Below are 17,345 nucleotides of genomic sequence, written 5' to 3' on the forward strand. Positions count from 1 at the left end.
GAGGGGGAGTGCCTCCTGCAGGGACGGTTCTCCCGCAGACACTCAAACTCCGGGATGTAAAACCCCTGTTAATAATTGTCAGGGGTCTGTTAATTGCCAAATACAGTTTTTGAAAGTTGTATGCACTAGGTAAAATAATTTATGTAATGTTTGGAAGTATGTGAAAGACAGACATTAGATTGATACAAATTAAAAATTTGTTGCCAAATTAACAGCTCTGTTGTAGATTATTAGTTTGACTAATTTTAAGAGGACTCTTAGTCTTACATAAAGAATCTTGCACCTAAAAATTTTCTCCTACAACTTTAAAACACTTTAAATTTTTTTTTTTTTTTCCTGAGATGGAGTCTCTGTCAGTCCCAGGCTGGAGTGCAGTGGCATGATCTCAGCTCACTGCAGCCTCCACTCCCTGGCTCAAGCCATCCTCCCGTCTCAGCCTCGGCAGTAGCTGGGACTATAGGTGCATCCGTCACACCTAGCTGATTTTTGTATTTTTGGTAGAGATGGAGTTTCACCATGTTGCTCAGGCTGGTTTCAAACTCCTGGTCTGAAGCAATCCACCCGCCTCAGCCTCCCAATGTGCTTGGATAACAGGTGTGAGCCACCATGCCCAGCCTAAAGAGTGTCTGTATTTTGAACTGTATGGTGGAAAAGCACAAAGTGACTGTTCTGAAGGTAGAAGGCAACAGTGATTATAAGTCTTAAAAGAACCTTGAGTTTTAGGTTCCCCTGTGATTAGGCTGGGGGAGTGTGTGCTGTTATCCTAGTTTTATAGGTGAGAAAACTAGTACTGGCTTTACCGCATGCTGGAAGCAGCCTCCCTTGAGCGATCCCTTTCTAGCCACCTGCTTAGCTGTTTTTTTGTTTTGTTTTGTTTTTTGTTTTTTCAACCTTCCTCAGGACGATACACATTGGTGTCTCTGCTTTGAGCTATATGATCAGGCTTTTGGCCTCACCATTTCACTGGAATTGACCTGACTGCCAAATCTGGCAGAAACCGTTGCATCTTTCAGTTGCTCTCTTTGATTTGTGACACGCTTCCAATTGCTTCAGCAGTGATTGCTTCAGTTACGCCTCATTCCCTGGATTTCCCACCTCTTGGCTGACTGCTCCTCCTGGGCCGGCTGTGTTGGCCCTTCTGCCCCTGCCCATGCTCGCACTGGGTTTCTTGGCACACACACCCTATGCAGTCTCATCCATGCTTGGAACATATGCCCAGTTGCTGGAGCCAGGAATGTGGGCACCATGGTGGGCTCCTCCCTCACTTCCAGTATTGGGTCTATCCCCAAGTCCTGTCCGTCCGACCTCCTCAGTGTTTCTCTGGTAACGTAACCGCTTAACTGCTCTCCCAGCCTCCAGGTTTCCTCCTTTAATCCACTCTCACATTACAGCCAAAGCGATTTTTCTAAACAGCAAAAGGGATCATGCCACTCCCTTGCATAGGGTTTAATGGCTCTCCATTGCCTAGGTGAGAGTTCAAACCACAACGCACAAGTGCCTGAGGACTTGGCCCAGCCTCTCCCATCTTTCCCCCACCTCCACTCTGACATGCAGGCCTCTAAACTAGTCTTGCTCTGTCTCTTGCCTCTGGGCTTCTGGGCTTCAAGTGTGTTGTCCCTTCTGCCTGAGCTATTGCCCCCACCACTACCACCCTGTTTTAATGGGATAATTTCATCTTGATTGGTGTTTCTTCCTCCAGGATTCCACCACCTCCCCACCCCACCTGACTGGCATCTTCTCAGCTGTATCTAGGGTTGGTGCTCCCTCCTCTGTGCTCCCATAACACCTGGTGCAGGTTTTGTTGACACCACTTGTGTAGGTGATGTTGGATTTGCCAGCCAGCACCCTCTCATCCGCCCTGCAGGTTTCTTGTTTGCCTCTGCCTGCCCAATGCCTGACTTTCAGTCTAAATTCCTTACCTCTTTCAGCTTCTGGTGGCTGCCAGCATTTCTGAGCTTGTGGCTGTATCACTCCAATCTCTGCCTGTGTGTTCACATGGCCTTCTTCTGTCTGTCAAATCTCCCTCTACTTCTTAGTGTTAGCCGTACACTGAAGCACCCCAAACAGGATCTCTCACACCATAGACACATATGTTCTTTTATACAAAATGCACATTGTTTATGCAGCCACCTCATTAGACACCCTGCGGACAACCCACAGCTGTGCACACAGCAAGCTCACAGCTGGACTTCCTATCGACATTCTATCTGCCCTTGAACCATTTTTTCCATCCTTGACTGTGTCCTACTTAATTAAAGATGCTGCTGTCTGCCTTGCTACCCAAGCCAGAAACTTGACGGTTATTTCTCAATGTCTGCATTCAACTGTCACTAAGTCCTATCAATCTACCTCTTAAATGCCACTTAAACCTGTCCTTACCAGCCTTATTTCAGCTGTTTCTGGCCTGCAGCAGCTCTGTCCAATCTGTAGCCATTGCAACCAAGTTCCTGCCTCAGTTTTGCTTCCTTCCCTTCCCAGCCTAGTGCGTTTTCAATCAAATTTATCTTTCCAAATGCAACTCGGGTTAACTTGCATTGGTGCTGTATACCCACCCACCCTCCCATGTGGCTTGCAGATGCCTGCGGCCTCATAGCTGGGCATGGCCTGTCCAGTGCTGCCAAGGTGGCTTTGCTTTCTGCTTGCCTCGCCTTTGCCAACCCCTCTAGCCATGTAGTCTGGCATAGGCACTTCCTGGGATGGCCTTTTCCTATTCAATCTGCAGGCAAATCCAATTTCAAGTGTCAGACCGAGGCTGCCTCCCTCTGCGCTTCAGTGATTCCACTATACCATCTATTTCACCTATTCCCATCTGCTCAAAGGCCGGTTTCTCCACTAGTTTGCATGCCCCTTGGCACAGAGACCATGTCTGTTAACTTGTGTATGCCCGGAGCTTTGGACCTGTTGCTAGGGCTGTGTCCTGGGCCATCTGTTCCCGATGGCTAGAGTTTTCTCTCTGAAACTGTTACAGTGGTAGCCGATTCTCCAGTGTTCATGCTGTTAAGTTGGTTTGCATTTCTTATAACAAAAAAAAACACAGCCCTTTTATAATTTGGGGGAGGGAAGTCTCTATGGGGTTTAACATATCTGCTTCTTCATATTTGGAAGCGGGAAGTTTTAATCAGCTGTGATTCTCTTAACCATCATTTCATTGGAATGGGTACCTGGCTGTCCAGATTTGCCCAATCTATGGGTTGGGTGGTTATCTCTTTAAAAAATTCATTAGTTTCCTGTGGCTGCTGTAATAGCTTTCTACAAACTTGGTGGGTTAAAACAATAGAAACTTACTCTTTTACAGTTCTGGAGGCCAGAAGTCCGAAATTGGTCTTATGGGATGGAAATTCAGGTGTGAGCAAGGCCACACTTCCCTTGGAGGATATAGAGAAAGTGCCTTGCTTTCAGCCTCTGGTGGCTGCCAGCATTCCTGGGCTTGTGGCTGCATCACTCTGATCTCTGCTTCTGTGTTCACATGACCTCTTTTCTGTCTGTCAAATCTCCCTCTACCTGTTTCTTTCTTTGTTTTGTTTTGTTTTGTTTTGTTTTTGTTTTAGACACCTGGTCTTGCTCTGTTGCCTAGGCTGGAGTATAGTGGTGCACTTATAGTTCATGTAACCTTGAACTTCTGGGCTCAAGTGATCCTCCAGCCTCAGCCTCCCAAGTAGCTAGGCCTATGGGTGTGCACCACCACACCTGGCCTTCTCTGCCTCTTTCATAAAGGGACACTTGGGAAGGCATTTAGGGCCTACCAGGAGAATCCAGCATGATCTCCCCATCTCAAGATCTTTTCATTTAATTACATCTGCAAGACCCTTTTTTCATATAAGGTAACATTGGAGGTTTCAGAGATCAGGACTTGATATCTTTAAGGGTCATTAGTCAGCCTACTGCAGATAAGAACAGTATTCCTGTGTAGCGGCATGGGAAGGCCTTTGAAAAGTATGTGAAACAGAAAAAGAAAAAAGAGAAGAGAATGGGAAGTGGGGAAAGTGAGGAAGGTAGTAACACTTTGGGTTGCTGTGTAAATGGTTTCCAACAACCACCTTCACAGTGAATATCACTCCGCGTGCTCAGAACTGGAGTGCCCCGGGCCATAGTGCCTCTTCAGCATGGTTGAAGTTGGGTGGGATTAAGTGTTGATCACACTGGGTTCTCATAATTGAGAAGCCCTATCTGTAAACATTATCATAAACAAAAAGTGGTACTAAGCTTAAGGACCTCCCAGCCAGAAGCATTAGTGCTGGTTTTCTCCAAAGGCCGTAATTGCCTCTTCCTCTCTCTTCTCGCCACCCCATCCTTGTTCTTGAAGAGCAGATGCCTGGAGGATATCCTTCCAGTTCAGCATACAAACGCCACCAATAATACTTGGATGGCATTAGATCCACACCAGTTTCTAAGAAACCCTTTTGTCTTAAGATTGGGAGAGGACTGTGTGTGTGTGTGTGTAATAACAGTAGTAATTCTATTTGATTATAAACTTTGTATGAATTAAGAAAATTCTTATGTGCTATTCCTTAAGTTGCTATCATGAAAGGTAAGGAAGACCGTTGCATTCAGATCTGCACCATGGGCATCCTTTGGTTAAAAAAAAGATGGATTCCACATCCCCAAAGCTGTGAAGTGGGGTGAAGAGTGACTGCTTCTGTTGTTACAATTATCTGCTACATGTCCTCAACTGTGATCCCATCTGCACCGTGATCCTGCTTTTTAGGAATAATTCCCATTTTACACACCAGGAAAGGGGGCTACCCCTTTCTACCCTCAAGGACTGTAAAGGTGACTACCAGATGATCTCTAACCTCAAGGAAATGGCACCAGCTCTGTCTCCTGGAAATAGACACAAACTATTGATACAAGTGGGAAATGCTTGGAGACATGTATGCTCTCAAGGTTATGAGGCACAGAGGAGGGGAGACTCTTCTGCCTCTGCCAGGGACCCAGATGCAGCTGGCCTGAGCCTGGAGATGGTGGTGCCAGGCCTTGGTCCTCTCAGTGCATCGAGCTCCCTGGGCCGGGGCCTGACGAGGACGAGTGCTGAAGTCCATCAGTTACCCCCTTCCATGCAGTGGCCACAAAAAAAGCGGGGGCAGCTTTGCCCCAGACAGAGGCTTTGCTGATTCCTGGACAGGCCTGAGGGGGCTGACAGTGGCTGCTCTGGGTTCACAGCCTGGGACATCAGACTGTGGGCGAGAATGGTGAACTCACCAGAAGGCATTCGTCTACGTGGCCTTTTCCAAACGGAAGCACGGATGGTGCATCTGCAAGGCGAATGGTGGTGTTTCTTTCCCACGATGTTCTGAGCAGCCAAGGCCGTTTGTTCAGTTTGGATATCAAGCTTCACGAGCCCCTGCACACATAATGCATCAGTGGTGAAAAGTACTCACTAAATTATCCGATCCAAAAGCTATTAAAAAACAACAACAACGCATAGCTGGTTTTTGTTTGTTTTTGCTTTTAAATCTTGGAGATTTTAGAGCTTTACTCCTTTTGTTAAGAGTCAGCCTTGTTGACTCATGAATCACCTGATTGAGAAAGACGTGAATGTGCGTTTAGATTTGATTTAAAAAGCGTTTGCTGTACTTTTTTATTTCCAAAATCTATTTTTTTATATTTGGCATGCTTATATTATAACTTTGATACATTTAAATATCTTAATAAATATATACCCTCAAATTTGAATTAAAACATCCACTTTAGAACTAGATTTAATAAAACATTATAGAACTTATACTTGAAGTTTGCTTATAAAGCACTCTCACAAAAACTGGGTCAAATGATTTAATCTGTTTTCTCCATTATAGAGCAGCCTTTCTCCCCGTCCCCCAACCCCTCCTTTTAAATGTGACTCAATTGATTTGGTACACTGTCTGCTTCTCTGATATCTGTGAAATTACTATGTCTAAAAATAGAAACTCAGTTCTCTTTATGCTTTCTTTCTGAGGTAGGCCAATTGTTAATATTGCAGCACTTTAAAAATTGTTAGCTGGTGAAGACCAATGATCAAGAACCACAGTGATGTCATCTGAGGTTTTACGAAGTTTGCATATTTAATTTGTTTTACATATTGTTGACTATAATAACTCTAGAATTTTCTTTCCTTTTTTTTTTTTTTTTTTTTCCAGACAGGGTCTTACTCTGTCACCCAGGCTGGAGGGCAGTGGTGCGAACATGGCTCACTGCAGCCTCCAACTCCTGGGTCAAGCAATCCTCCTGCCTCAGTCCCCCAAGTAGCTGGGACCACAGGCGTGCACCACCATGCCTGGCTAATTTTTGTATTTTTTGTAGAGACAGGGTTTTGTCATGTTACCCAGGCTGTTCTTGAATTCCTGAGCTCAAGTGATCCTCCTGCCTCGGCCTCCCAAAGTGCCGGGATTACAGGCATCGGCAACCGTGCTCAGCCTAAGTCTGGAATTTTAAATGACTCTTGGAAATATTCCCCCAAATTGTGCTTTATAAAAATCAACTAAATTTGAAAAATGAGATGACTAGGGCACGTGATAAGGGTGGTAAGGGGGAAAAATGTCTGAACATCCCTATGAAATCTGACTTCCTTTTTAACTTTAGTTCTGTCCTTGCAATCAGTGGACTGGAGTGATTATTTGATTTCATTACGGTGGCATGGTTATCAAGGTAGTATTGTTACTAGACCATATTATCAGCAATGTAATACTTATTCTAAAATTAAGCCCTGTGTTCTTTCTCCTGGGCTTGAAGTTAGTTCATCAGAATTCTCTGTTAAAACTGAAATCCCCATTTCTGCATTCACTGTCTTTTACTGGCCAGCACAGTGACTGGCCTATCCTCGATTCAGGTACGAAAACCAACAACCAAAGAAACAACCAGGTAGGCGGCCACCATGACAATAAAGCTACAGTAAAAAAACACCAATTGTTTTATCAGGTGTAAGCTACCCTTCAGAATAACATTGCTCAGAGGTTTTGAATAGGACCAGATATGTGCAAAAATGTCAAAAGACCATAAACACGCAAAAATTACGTCAAATATATTATAAAAGACAAAATATCACAGAGCAAAGTTGAACTACTGCAAAGAACTTTGAAACTGAAATGCCTTCAGGCCCGAGAATCGACGTTAATTGTATTGGAAGTGAAGAAGCTTCAGTTGACGCACGTCACAGGATCTGAACGGGAGGTTTCCAGTGTCGTCCCCACTGTGGAACTGCGATGTGTTGTCACTGTAGCCCCTTGGAGCACAGGCCCAGCAGCACGTGACTGAAGGCAATCAGCAATACTGAGACGAATCGCTACTCCGAGGCTTCACTGAGTTAACCCCAATGATACTCGCTCAGTTAACAACCTCAAAATCATTTTTGGTCATGGAAATCATTACTGAATTATAGTGAGGATCCAAAACTTGACCATAGAGTTATAATAATGGAGGGGGGATGGAGATTCTTTGATAATCAGGAAATTCTAAATTATCTTTCAGAGTTTTCTAATATGTTGATGACTCAGAAGATTTTACATGCAAAAACTAGAACTCTGTGGAAGGATTTTACAGTGCAGAAGACAGACCTTACCGTTGCCCTTCTCTGATCCTCCAGTTGGGCAAGGCAGTTACCACTAGGCAATACTAGAAGGCAGTAACACCCTAGGAGTGTAGCATTGTCCTATCTCCAGGGCAGGTGGGCTGGAGAATTGCAGCCCATCCTTCTAGGCCACGGGCAAGTGTTACTGCCTTGTAGTTCCCTCTCTGATCCCTTCAACTGGAGCAGCACCCACCAACACCTGGGGACCCGGGACACACCTCTCTTAAAGCACTGGGCTGGAATGTTGGCTTATGAGCTGTCTCTACTTGTAGACCATGAGCTCCTACGCAGGTGTGCACCTGGCCCCGGGTGAGGGCTCCTGTGGTATTTGCGGGCGGAATGGGATTTGCTTTTGGGGAGAGCAGCAGAGACTTTCTGTGCTTCTCTCTGGGTCATCTCCCTCCCCGTCAGGGCAGTCATGATACTGACATGGCTAGCCTCCTGCCCTTAGGTAGGCTGTGTGACCAGTGGTGGCTGCTGGATTCTGAGAAGTGACATTGGTCAGCTCCTGATTGTTCATCACGTGATACCTGTGTTTGATGAACATTCACTGAGCACGTGCCAAGTGGCGGCTGCATGCTATGCTGGCTGGCAGGGTGTAGAGACGCATGGGGCTCAGGCCCCAACCCGAGGGAGCACATCAGCCCAGGGGTGTGCAAACACTTTAAACACAGTGTGCTGTGTCCCCTTCAAGGCCTATGTGTCCCTGTCTCCATCTCACCTCCCGACTGCCAGTCAGTCTTCTGGAGTCTCCACGACTTGTCAGGGTCACCAGTAGCCTCTGTGTGACCAAATCCCGGAGTCATGTATTTGTCTTCACTCATTCAATCATTCATGGTGCTGCACTCCCGACACACACTGTGTGCATGGTTCCATCCCTTAGGATACTTCAGTAAGCAGAACAGAAATTCCTGCCCTCATGGAGTCTCCGTGCTTGTGGACATCCACAGGTGTTGAGCCCAGAGCAGTCCCTCATTTACCTCCTGCAGGAAGCGCCTGCTCCGGGGGCACCCAGCCCCGGACCATCTCTGCTGTCCCTTTCACCACCTCTAGCTGCACTGTTCTCTGCCTTCCCTCCTGCCCAGGGGCCTTGTGTGGGCTCTTTTCTCCACCTGGGATATCCTTCCTCTTTGTTCTTCTTGTGTCTCCTTCTTTCATTCAGTTCTTCCCATCCTGATCCTGAATTTGACTCATTGTAGCTCTTACCAATATCTGCTGTGTTCTTGTGTCTTTGTTTACTGTCAGTTACCCCACCCAAATATCAGTTCCACGGTGTATTCCTGGCACCTAGGATAGGGCCTGGACATGGCAGGTGCTCAGTGAATACTTGAAAGAATGGGCATCGGGAAGGGAGTTCTAGATAGAAGGCCTGGCATGGGGCTCAGAGGACACTCTGGACCTGAGGGTTTGGGGCCCAGCTAGAGCCCTGGTGTGAGGGCTGAGGATGGACAGGTGGGGGCCTCTGTGCACATGTGTCCAGGTATGGACTCCCCTTGGGTAACAAGAACACAGGGTGGGGTTTCAAAATCAGGAGAGACATGTTCAGGTTTTGAGCCTTCCACAAGCCTTCTCCTTGTGGAAGTTCAAAGGAGAGGAAGAGATTAGAAGTGGGGTCGGAGGTGGGGGTCTTCTGCAATGCTGGCAAGGAGGAATTAAACAGCCTGAACAAGACAGTGGTGATGGTATGGACACCAGCATCCAGGGCAGGCCTGTGGCTCATCGGATTTGAGAGGAGCCTGCGACAATGACGGTTTGAGGCTGGGGGACCAGGTATAACCAGAGCCCTACCCTCAGAGAGACGCTTCCTCACTCCCCACTTTCCTTCTTCATGCCCTGTGCCTGCCCCGGAGCTCTACGCAGAACCCTGCCCCCAGCCCCAACACGCCTGCCCATTGAACCCCTGCCACAGCTGCATTAATCAATCCTGGGTGTTTATCCAAAAGAATTGCAATCAGGCTCTCCAGGAGATGTCTGCACTCCCACGTTCATTCACAACAGCTAAGATGTGGAGTCAGCCCCAATGTCCATCGACATGTGAACGAATGGAAAGCGTGGTGCGTACAGCCAGTGAAATACTATTCAGCCTTAACGAAGACAATTCCGCAATACACAACAACACGATGAGTGACACAGGCCAGTCACAGTGGGACAAATCCTGCAGGATTCCACTTATATGAGGTGGCTAAAGTAGTGGAACTCATAGAACCAAAGAGTGGGAAGGTGGCTGCTAGGAGCTCACGGAGGGGAAATGAGGGTTGCTGCTCAACAGGCATTAAGTTTTAATTAAGCCAAATGAATGAGCTCTAGAGCTCCGCTGCAGGACATCACACCCATAGTCGCGATGCTGCGGTGGACACTTAGCATTTTAGCAGGACAGATCTCATGTGTTCTTACCACAATAAAAATAAAATAAAATTCTGGAATTAACATCACCAAACAGGCACGATGGGATTTGATTATATTGCAACGTATGCTAAGAAGGGGTTATTCATCTGGTGACAGTGGCATACATCCTGCCACGGTCTCCTCTGGCAGCTGCCCAGAGCACACAGCAGTCCAGGAGATGCGCTTTGAATGCTGTACCCAGCACTTCATGGGAAATGTGACTTTTTAAAATGGAGGGTGAATACGCGAAGTCACAAGTGTCCCTGGAAATCAGGGATGTGTGGCTGTTCACATGTCACTACTGGGGAGCGTACTGTGTCTGGGGAGGGCCTTTGTTTGAGACAAGACGTGGACTGAGGACAAGAGAGCCAAGCCAAGTCCTGCAAAAGAGGAACAACAGGGCAGGGACCGGGTGACCAGGTGGCGATGGAACGTAGAGCCCGGACTTTGCTGGGCAGTGGGCAAAGGGCAGGAGTCAGGCTCTGGAAGCCTGGGATTCCGAGCTCCTCCAGGGTCTTTAGCCCCTGGGGTGAAGGGGACAGGGCACAGAGCCGTGCGAAGCCCCACACTGGCATTCACCTCAGGCTGATGACAGTGGCAGTGCGCAGGGGCGCTGCAGGAGGCCGGGGAAGGCGAGGTCACAACAGGCACAATAGGGAGTCGTTGCCAGGCAACCTCTCTAGGCTTCTGTTGTGATTCTGCTTTAGTTGGGTCTGGGGGGGTCTCTCTGGAGAGTGGCTATAAATGCTAGCCTTTGTGCTGGGCAGCAAAGCAAATCATCGGGAATAACCCGGGAGCCTGGCAGGGAAACCGCTGCACTATGGAGAGGACGCTTCCAGATACAGAGGACAAATCAAGTGAAGGGACGGAACAGGTCACACCCAGAGCGGCACAGAGGTGTGTGAGCTGTTCCCACGGTAGTCAGAGCCTCTGTTCCAACTGTCCTCCCGCTGGGCTCTCTCCGGTCCCCAGTGCATGGGCTGGAGTGTGGCCCCTGGCAGAGCCCTGGAGGCCGGCTCTGCTTCCTGCCCCCTTCCAGCCTGGAGCAGCCCGAGGGCGCAGCATTCCTGGGGCAGGCCTGAGCCCTGTGGTGGGCTGAGTTGAGTCCCCAGAAAGGTAGATTGAAGCCCAAACTCTCTGTATGTTTGAACGTGACCTTATTTGGAAAAAGAGTCTTTGCAGATGTGTTCAGGTTCAGATGAGGTCATCCTGGATTAGGGTGAGTCCTAAATCCAATGCTGTGACCTTATAATTGGGGGATGCACAGGGAGAGGCCGCATGAAGATGCAGGCCAAGACTGGGGCACTGCTGCTCCAAGCCAAGGAGCACCAAGGACTGAAGACGCCCGCGGGGCGCTGGGCAAGGTGCAGAGGGATTCTTCCTGGGGGCTTCAGAGGAGGGTGGTCCTGCCCACACCTCACTTTTGGACTTCTACTCTCCGGAACTTTGAAAGAACACATTTCTGTGGTTTTCAGCCACCTGGTTTGTGGGAATTTGTTATGGCAGCCCCAGAAAACGAATACAGGCAACATCACTTAGTGCTTAAGAAAGAGCCTGTGCCCGGGCGCGGAGGCTCACGCCTAGAATCCCAGCACTTTAGAGGCTGAGGCAGGAGGATCGCTTGAGCCCAGGAATTTGAGACCAGCCTGGGCAACAAAGTAAGATCCTGTCTCTACAAAAAATAAAAAAAATTAGCTGGGCGTGGTGATGCGCGCCTGTGTTTCCAGCTACATGAGAGGCAGAGGCGGGAGGATCGCTTGAGCCCAGGAAGTCAAGGCTGCAGTGAACCATGTTGGCACCACTGCACTCCAGCTTGGGTGACAGAGTGAGACCCTGAAAAAAAAAAAAGTCTGTGGGCCCACGTCTCACATCCTGACCCCGCCGGCGATCAACTGTGTGACCTTGAGTGAGTTACTTAAACTCTCTGTGCCTCGGTCTCCCCATGGGTTGTGGAAGGGTTGAGTTGATGAGTGTAAAGTATGCAGACAACAGCCAGGTGCCCAGCATGATGTAAACACCGCAAGAGCACTGGCTGTTGTGAAAGGTGCCGTGTTTAAGAATTGGAGTTTCCCAACGGGTTCAGTATTAGTACCTGTTCTTTAGGGCACAGACTTGTTCTGTGCCATTTTACCTGTATCCATTTCAACCAGACTTACATCTTTTCGAAGGAAGGCCTGAGAAAATCTCAATTCTCAACTGGAGTGATGATTCAAACCCCTTGTTTCCCTTCCTTTTCTTTGGGGTCTCTGTTAGTTTCCTGTGGCCAATGTAATTAATTACCACAAGCAGGGAGCTTAAACATCAGAATGCATCTTTCACAATCTGGAGACCAGAAATCCAGGTGCAGGATTTTACAGGGCCATGCTGCCTCTGAAGGCACCAGGGTAGGGTCCCTCCTCGCCTCTCCCAGTTTGCTGGCATGCCGGCAAGGCTCGGCACTCCTTGGCAGGCACCAGCCGTGCTCCAATCACTGCCTGTCTTTGCATGGTCATCTTCTTGTGTTTCTCTGTATCTCTCCTCGTATAAGGTCCTTGGTCATTGGATTCAGGACCCACCTTACTCCAGCATGACTTCATCATCACTTAATTACATCTGCAAGAACCCTGTTTCCAAATAAGGTGACATTCTTAGGTACTGGGGGTGAGTATGTATCTTTTCTTCAACATATCTTTTTGGTGGAATGCAATTCAACCCAGAACACCACCTCTCACGAAAACGGCTAAAAACGGCTGGGGAGGCATTTTCAAGAACTTTCACTAACAAATTTTAAAGAATAGATTTCACTGTAAGCCTTGGGCAGCCACTGAAGAGTGTGTTGGAATAGCTGCTGAGTGTCGGCCACTACTGGGTGACGTTTCCTTAATGGCTGGAAGAGTGAAGGAATTAGGGCCGAGCGTGTATGCACAAAAACTTCTTCTGTTTTGACTGTATGGGCTTCTTCCTTTCATTTGTTCATTTAGCAAACATGTATTGCCTTCTTTTGTCTTCTAGGATCTATGAAAGATAAAATGTGGTGTGAGGACACGGCCCAGCCCCACCGTCGTCTTCCAGCCCCACCATCGTCTTCCAGCCCCACCGTCGTCTTCCAGTCCCACCGTCGTCTTCTAGCCCCACCATCGTCGTCTTGGACTCTCTGGGTGGCACCACGCTGTGGGTGCTGCTCTCCTCTGTGTCCCAAACGAGTTTGTGCCTCACTTTGTCGGGTTTTGGCTGTGACTTGGAGCCTCACCAAGCTCCCTTTTCCTCTGTCTCCCATTCTCCTCTCCAGGCCAGGGTGGCTTCCCCAGCCCTCCTCCCCGGGTCCTGCCTGTGCCGAGCCTTCCTCCCAGGAGGGAGGTGATACTGACTTGAGATCTTATGGGTGTTTTGTTTGTGGCTGGGCCTGGCCGACCCTCTCTCCACGGCCTTAGATCACACTCTGGATGGATAGGACAGTCGTCCTCAATACTGAGCCTCTTTGGAGCATACCCACTGATGGTGGTTCACAAGCTACCCACGCCCACAGGCTGACCCAGATCTCCGTGAAATTAAAAAATACTGTGAAAGGAAAAAGAGCCAATGTCATGTGGATAATGAAGTGTCAGCCACTGAAAAATCTCAAAATAATAAACATGGCTTGTTTGTCAGGGTTCTCTAGAGAAACAGCAGCAACTGTGTGTGTGTGTGTGTGTGTGTGTGTGTGTGTGTGTGTGTGCGCGCAGAGAGAAAGAAGGAGGGAGGAAGACATAAGGAATCAGCTCATGCAATTGTGCAGCCTGGCATGTCCACAGTCTGTAGGATGGGCCGGCACGCTGGAGACCCAGGAAAGAGCTGCAGTTTGAATAGGAAGGCCATGGGCGGGAGAGTTCCTTCCTGTTCAGGGGACCTCAGTCTTTCTCTAGAAGACCTTTGGCTGACCGGATGAGGCTCATCCACGCTATGGACACAAATCAGCTTTACTCAAAGTCTACTGATTTAAACGTTAATCTCATCTACAAAAAGTACCTTCACAAAAACATCTAGAACAACGTTTGACCAAATATCTGGGTACTGTGGCTTAGCCAGGTTGATACATCAAATTAACCGTCACCTTTTGCTTAATCTACTTTTTAATTTGCTTTTACTTTGAAAACAAGTAAAGTTTTTGTAAGCCTCCAAGTTGAGATTAACGATGTGAGAAGGAGAATCCATAAACTTTCCTGTTGAACAAATAGCAGATGGATTTTTTCAGGAGGTGGGGACCACACAGGGCTGGCCTGCTCTGACGTGGCAGCCGCAGAGGGGTGGCATCAGCAGCAGACAGTCTCATGTCCTCAGCCCTGCCGACGTCCAGATCACTGTGGAGTGTAGCTATTACTCATGCCTTTTTCTTTGATCTTTGCCTTTTTCCTTATTATTTTTTTTCCTTGCTGAAGATAAAAATAAAATGGAAGTAATGATAAAACCACAGTTCATAACCTAAAGTGCCACAAGGATTAATGACAAATTGGTGCCCTGGACATGTTCGTCACACAGCCAATGTCCCCGCTGTGCCAGATCCATTTTGAACGTAAGCTGGACTGTCTCACCCTGACAGAGTTTTCCAGTCCTCTTCCTCCCAGGTTCTCAGTGTGGCCAGTCCAGACATCTGCCTTGCACCACTGCCTCCTGGTGACCCCTCCTCACGGGACAGCTGGACACAACCTGCCTGACTCGCCCTCAGACCCCACACCCCACATGGACTGTGCAGACCTATGCCCCAGTGACCCTTCAGTCACAGTGTGACCCCACGGAGCTCTTGCCTGCTTGCTCCAGACCCACCGATTAGAACTCCCGTGGTAAACCTGCTTGGCTAACTCCTTGGTCCCCATAAAGGTGTTGGCCCCTGGGTCTCCCTATCTTTCCCCCTGCCCGATGGTTGAGTGTGCATGTCCCCAGTGGCTCCCCACTCCCGTCAGCCCTGCGAGGTGGGCTGCCCTCTCCTCTCGCGGCCCTGGGAGACATCAGCTGCTTCTGAGCTCATGAGCTCTGCAGCACCGCCTCCTGTGTCTCAGCCCAGCTCGCTCCTGGTCAGGGCTAGAATTTACAGCCACTCTCAAGAGAGACCTCAGGCCAAATTAGAAAAAAATTAATATTTACAAAACAGCATGTGTGTATGTGTGTGTGGGGTGTGTGTGTGGAGGGCTGTGTGGTGTGTATGTGTGTACATGTGTATGTGTGTGGGGTGTGGTGTGTATGTGTCTGTGGTGTGGGGTATGTGTGTGGGGTGGAATGCGTATATGTGTATGTGTACATACATATACACGTTTAAAGGTCAAGCTGTTCTTTAATCAACCAGAAAGCGTAGGACACACATATTTCTTAGTTTTTTCCAAACTGAGATAGAGAAAGGAAGATGTTTTTAAGTATGTATAAATTCGTATTCATTTTATGAAGAGAGAAGGAAAGGCCCGCTCTGCCAGTGCCCCATTACAGCCCATACACCCTGCAGGTGGCTGGGGCATGAGAAGCGTTGAGTTGCCTCTGGGTGACAGGGGGCCTAGAGCCCTTGCATCTTGGCTGTGTGTGTAGTGTAGGGTGTGTGGGGTGCGCGTATGTGTGGTGTGTGTATGTGTGTGTGGCGTGTGTGTGTGTTGTGTGTGTGCTATATGTTTGTGTGGGAAATGGGTGTGTGTGTGTAGGGTGTGTGTGTGGTGTGGAGTGTGTATGTGTGTGTGGGTATGTATGTGTGATGTGTGTATGGTGTGGGGTGTGTGTGGTGTAGGGTGTGTGTGTGGTGTGGGGTGTGTGTGTGTGGTGTGTGTGTAGGGTGTGTGTGTGTTGTGTGGTGTGTGTGTAGGGTGTGTATATATGGTGTGGGGTGTGTGTGGGGTGTGTGTGTGTATGTGTGGTGTGTGTGTGGTGTGTGGGTGTGTGTGGTGTGTGGTGCGTTCATGTGTATGTGTGGTGCATGTGTGTGAGGTGTGGTGTGTGTGGGTGTGTGATGTGGGGTGTGTCTGTGGTGTGTGTGTGTGTGGTGTGTGTGGTGTGTGTGTGGTGTGTGTGTAGGGTGTGTGTGTTGTGTGGGTTGTGTTGTGTGGGGTGTGTGTGCGGTATATGTGTGTGTATGTGTGGCATGTGTGTGGTTTTATTTGTGTGTGTGGTGTGTGTGTGTGGTGTGGGGTGTGTGTGTGGTGTGGAGTGTGTGGTTGTGGTGTGTGTGTAGGGTGTGTGTGTTGTGTGGGGTGTGTGTGTGTGGCATCTGTGTGGTTTTTTTGTGTGTGTGATGTGTGGTGTGTGTGTGTGGTGTGGGGGGTGTGTGTGGTGTATTTAGGGTGTGTGTGTTGTGTGGGGTGTGTTATGCGGGGGGTGTGGGGTTATATGTCTGTGTATGTGTGGCGTGTGTGTGGTTTTGTGTGTGCGATTATGGTGTGTGCATGTGTGTTTGTGGTGTGTGTGTGGTGTGATGTGGCATATGTTGTGTGTTGTGTGGTGTGTGTGGGGGGGGTGTGTCACACGTATATTGGAATCTGAACCAGGTGCTGTTTGTCATCACTCTGCCTCTGTACTTTGCTGAAGCAGCCCACATGGACGATGGGGCCCTTCCCAGTGCTGCAGAGTCTTGAGCTAAGAGTTTACGTATTCCAAGACAACGCACATGGGACATGGGACTTCCTCCCCCGTGCTCCTCCTGTCCTCCGCCTCCTTGATGAGCTGGACGTGCGGGGAGACCCCAGACCTGGCGCATGGCTGGTTTTGCTCTGTGCCTGCACAGACCGGAGATGCCCTTGGTGACGCCGTCTGCTCCTCCCGTGCTTTCAGACACAGTGAGCGCCCTGTACCCAAGTGTGTGTCACGCAGGGGTGCTGGGGTCCCTTTCGTCTCTATTCCCCATTAAACATCTTTCACCATTTTAACATGCAGGCATTTAGAAACTCTTTTTTCATATAATAATTGTCTGAGCTCAGAAAAGCCAGCAGCGTTACTCACTGTCACCGAAGTCCAGATGGTATTTTTATTCTGTGCTCAAATTGGCTTCCTCATTTCTTTCCAGGCCCTGTAAGCAGCTTAAAATTTCCATTTTCCAGGTCAAGCTGTTCTTTAATCAACCAGAAAGCGTAGGACACACATATTTCTTAGTTTTTTCCAAACTGAGATAGAGAAAGGAAGATGTTTTTAAATACGTATAAATTCATATTTGTTTTATGAGGAGGGAAGGAAAGGCCCGCTCTGCCAGTGCCCCATTACAGCCCATACACCCTGCAGGTGGCTGGGGCATGAGAAGCGTTGGGTTGCCTCTGGGTGACAGGGGGCCTAGAGCCCTTGCATCTTGGCTGTGACCGTGGCCTTCGATCGAGCACAGTGGGTGAGGGCCTTCTGAATAAGAAGGGCACCGCCACACCCTGTGGGGCCGATGAGCAAGTCAGTTCCTCTAATACAAACTCTGCATTCCTTGTGGCTCCCCAAAAAGGTCAGAGGA

The 17,345-nt window shown here is 48.6% G+C and overlaps 1 long non-coding RNA gene across 3 annotated transcripts in view; it reads left to right on the top strand.

Annotated features, from left to right (window-relative positions):
* The window catches only part of ZNF295-AS1 (ZNF295 antisense RNA 1), a 15,727-nt gene extending 2,193 nt beyond the window's left edge, over window positions 1-13,534 (top strand). Inside the window, exons 1-2 of one of the 3 annotated variants that reach the window (NR_119385.1) lie at window positions 10,618-10,825; window positions 12,920-13,534. This is a non-coding gene — a long non-coding RNA (ZNF295 antisense RNA 1). Of the gene's footprint in view, window positions 1-10,617; window positions 10,826-10,882; window positions 11,045-12,919 lie in introns of those variants that run through there. The other 2 variants (NR_027273.2, NR_119384.1) reach the window with 2 other exon arrangements.
* The last annotated feature ends 3,811 nt before the right edge of the window (window positions 13,535-17,345 follow it).

The sequence above is a fragment of the Homo sapiens genome, chromosome 21 (genome assembly GCF_000001405.40).
Source record: "Homo sapiens chromosome 21, GRCh38.p14 Primary Assembly".
NCBI classification, from domain to species: Eukaryota; Metazoa; Chordata; class Mammalia; order Primates; family Hominidae; genus Homo; species Homo sapiens.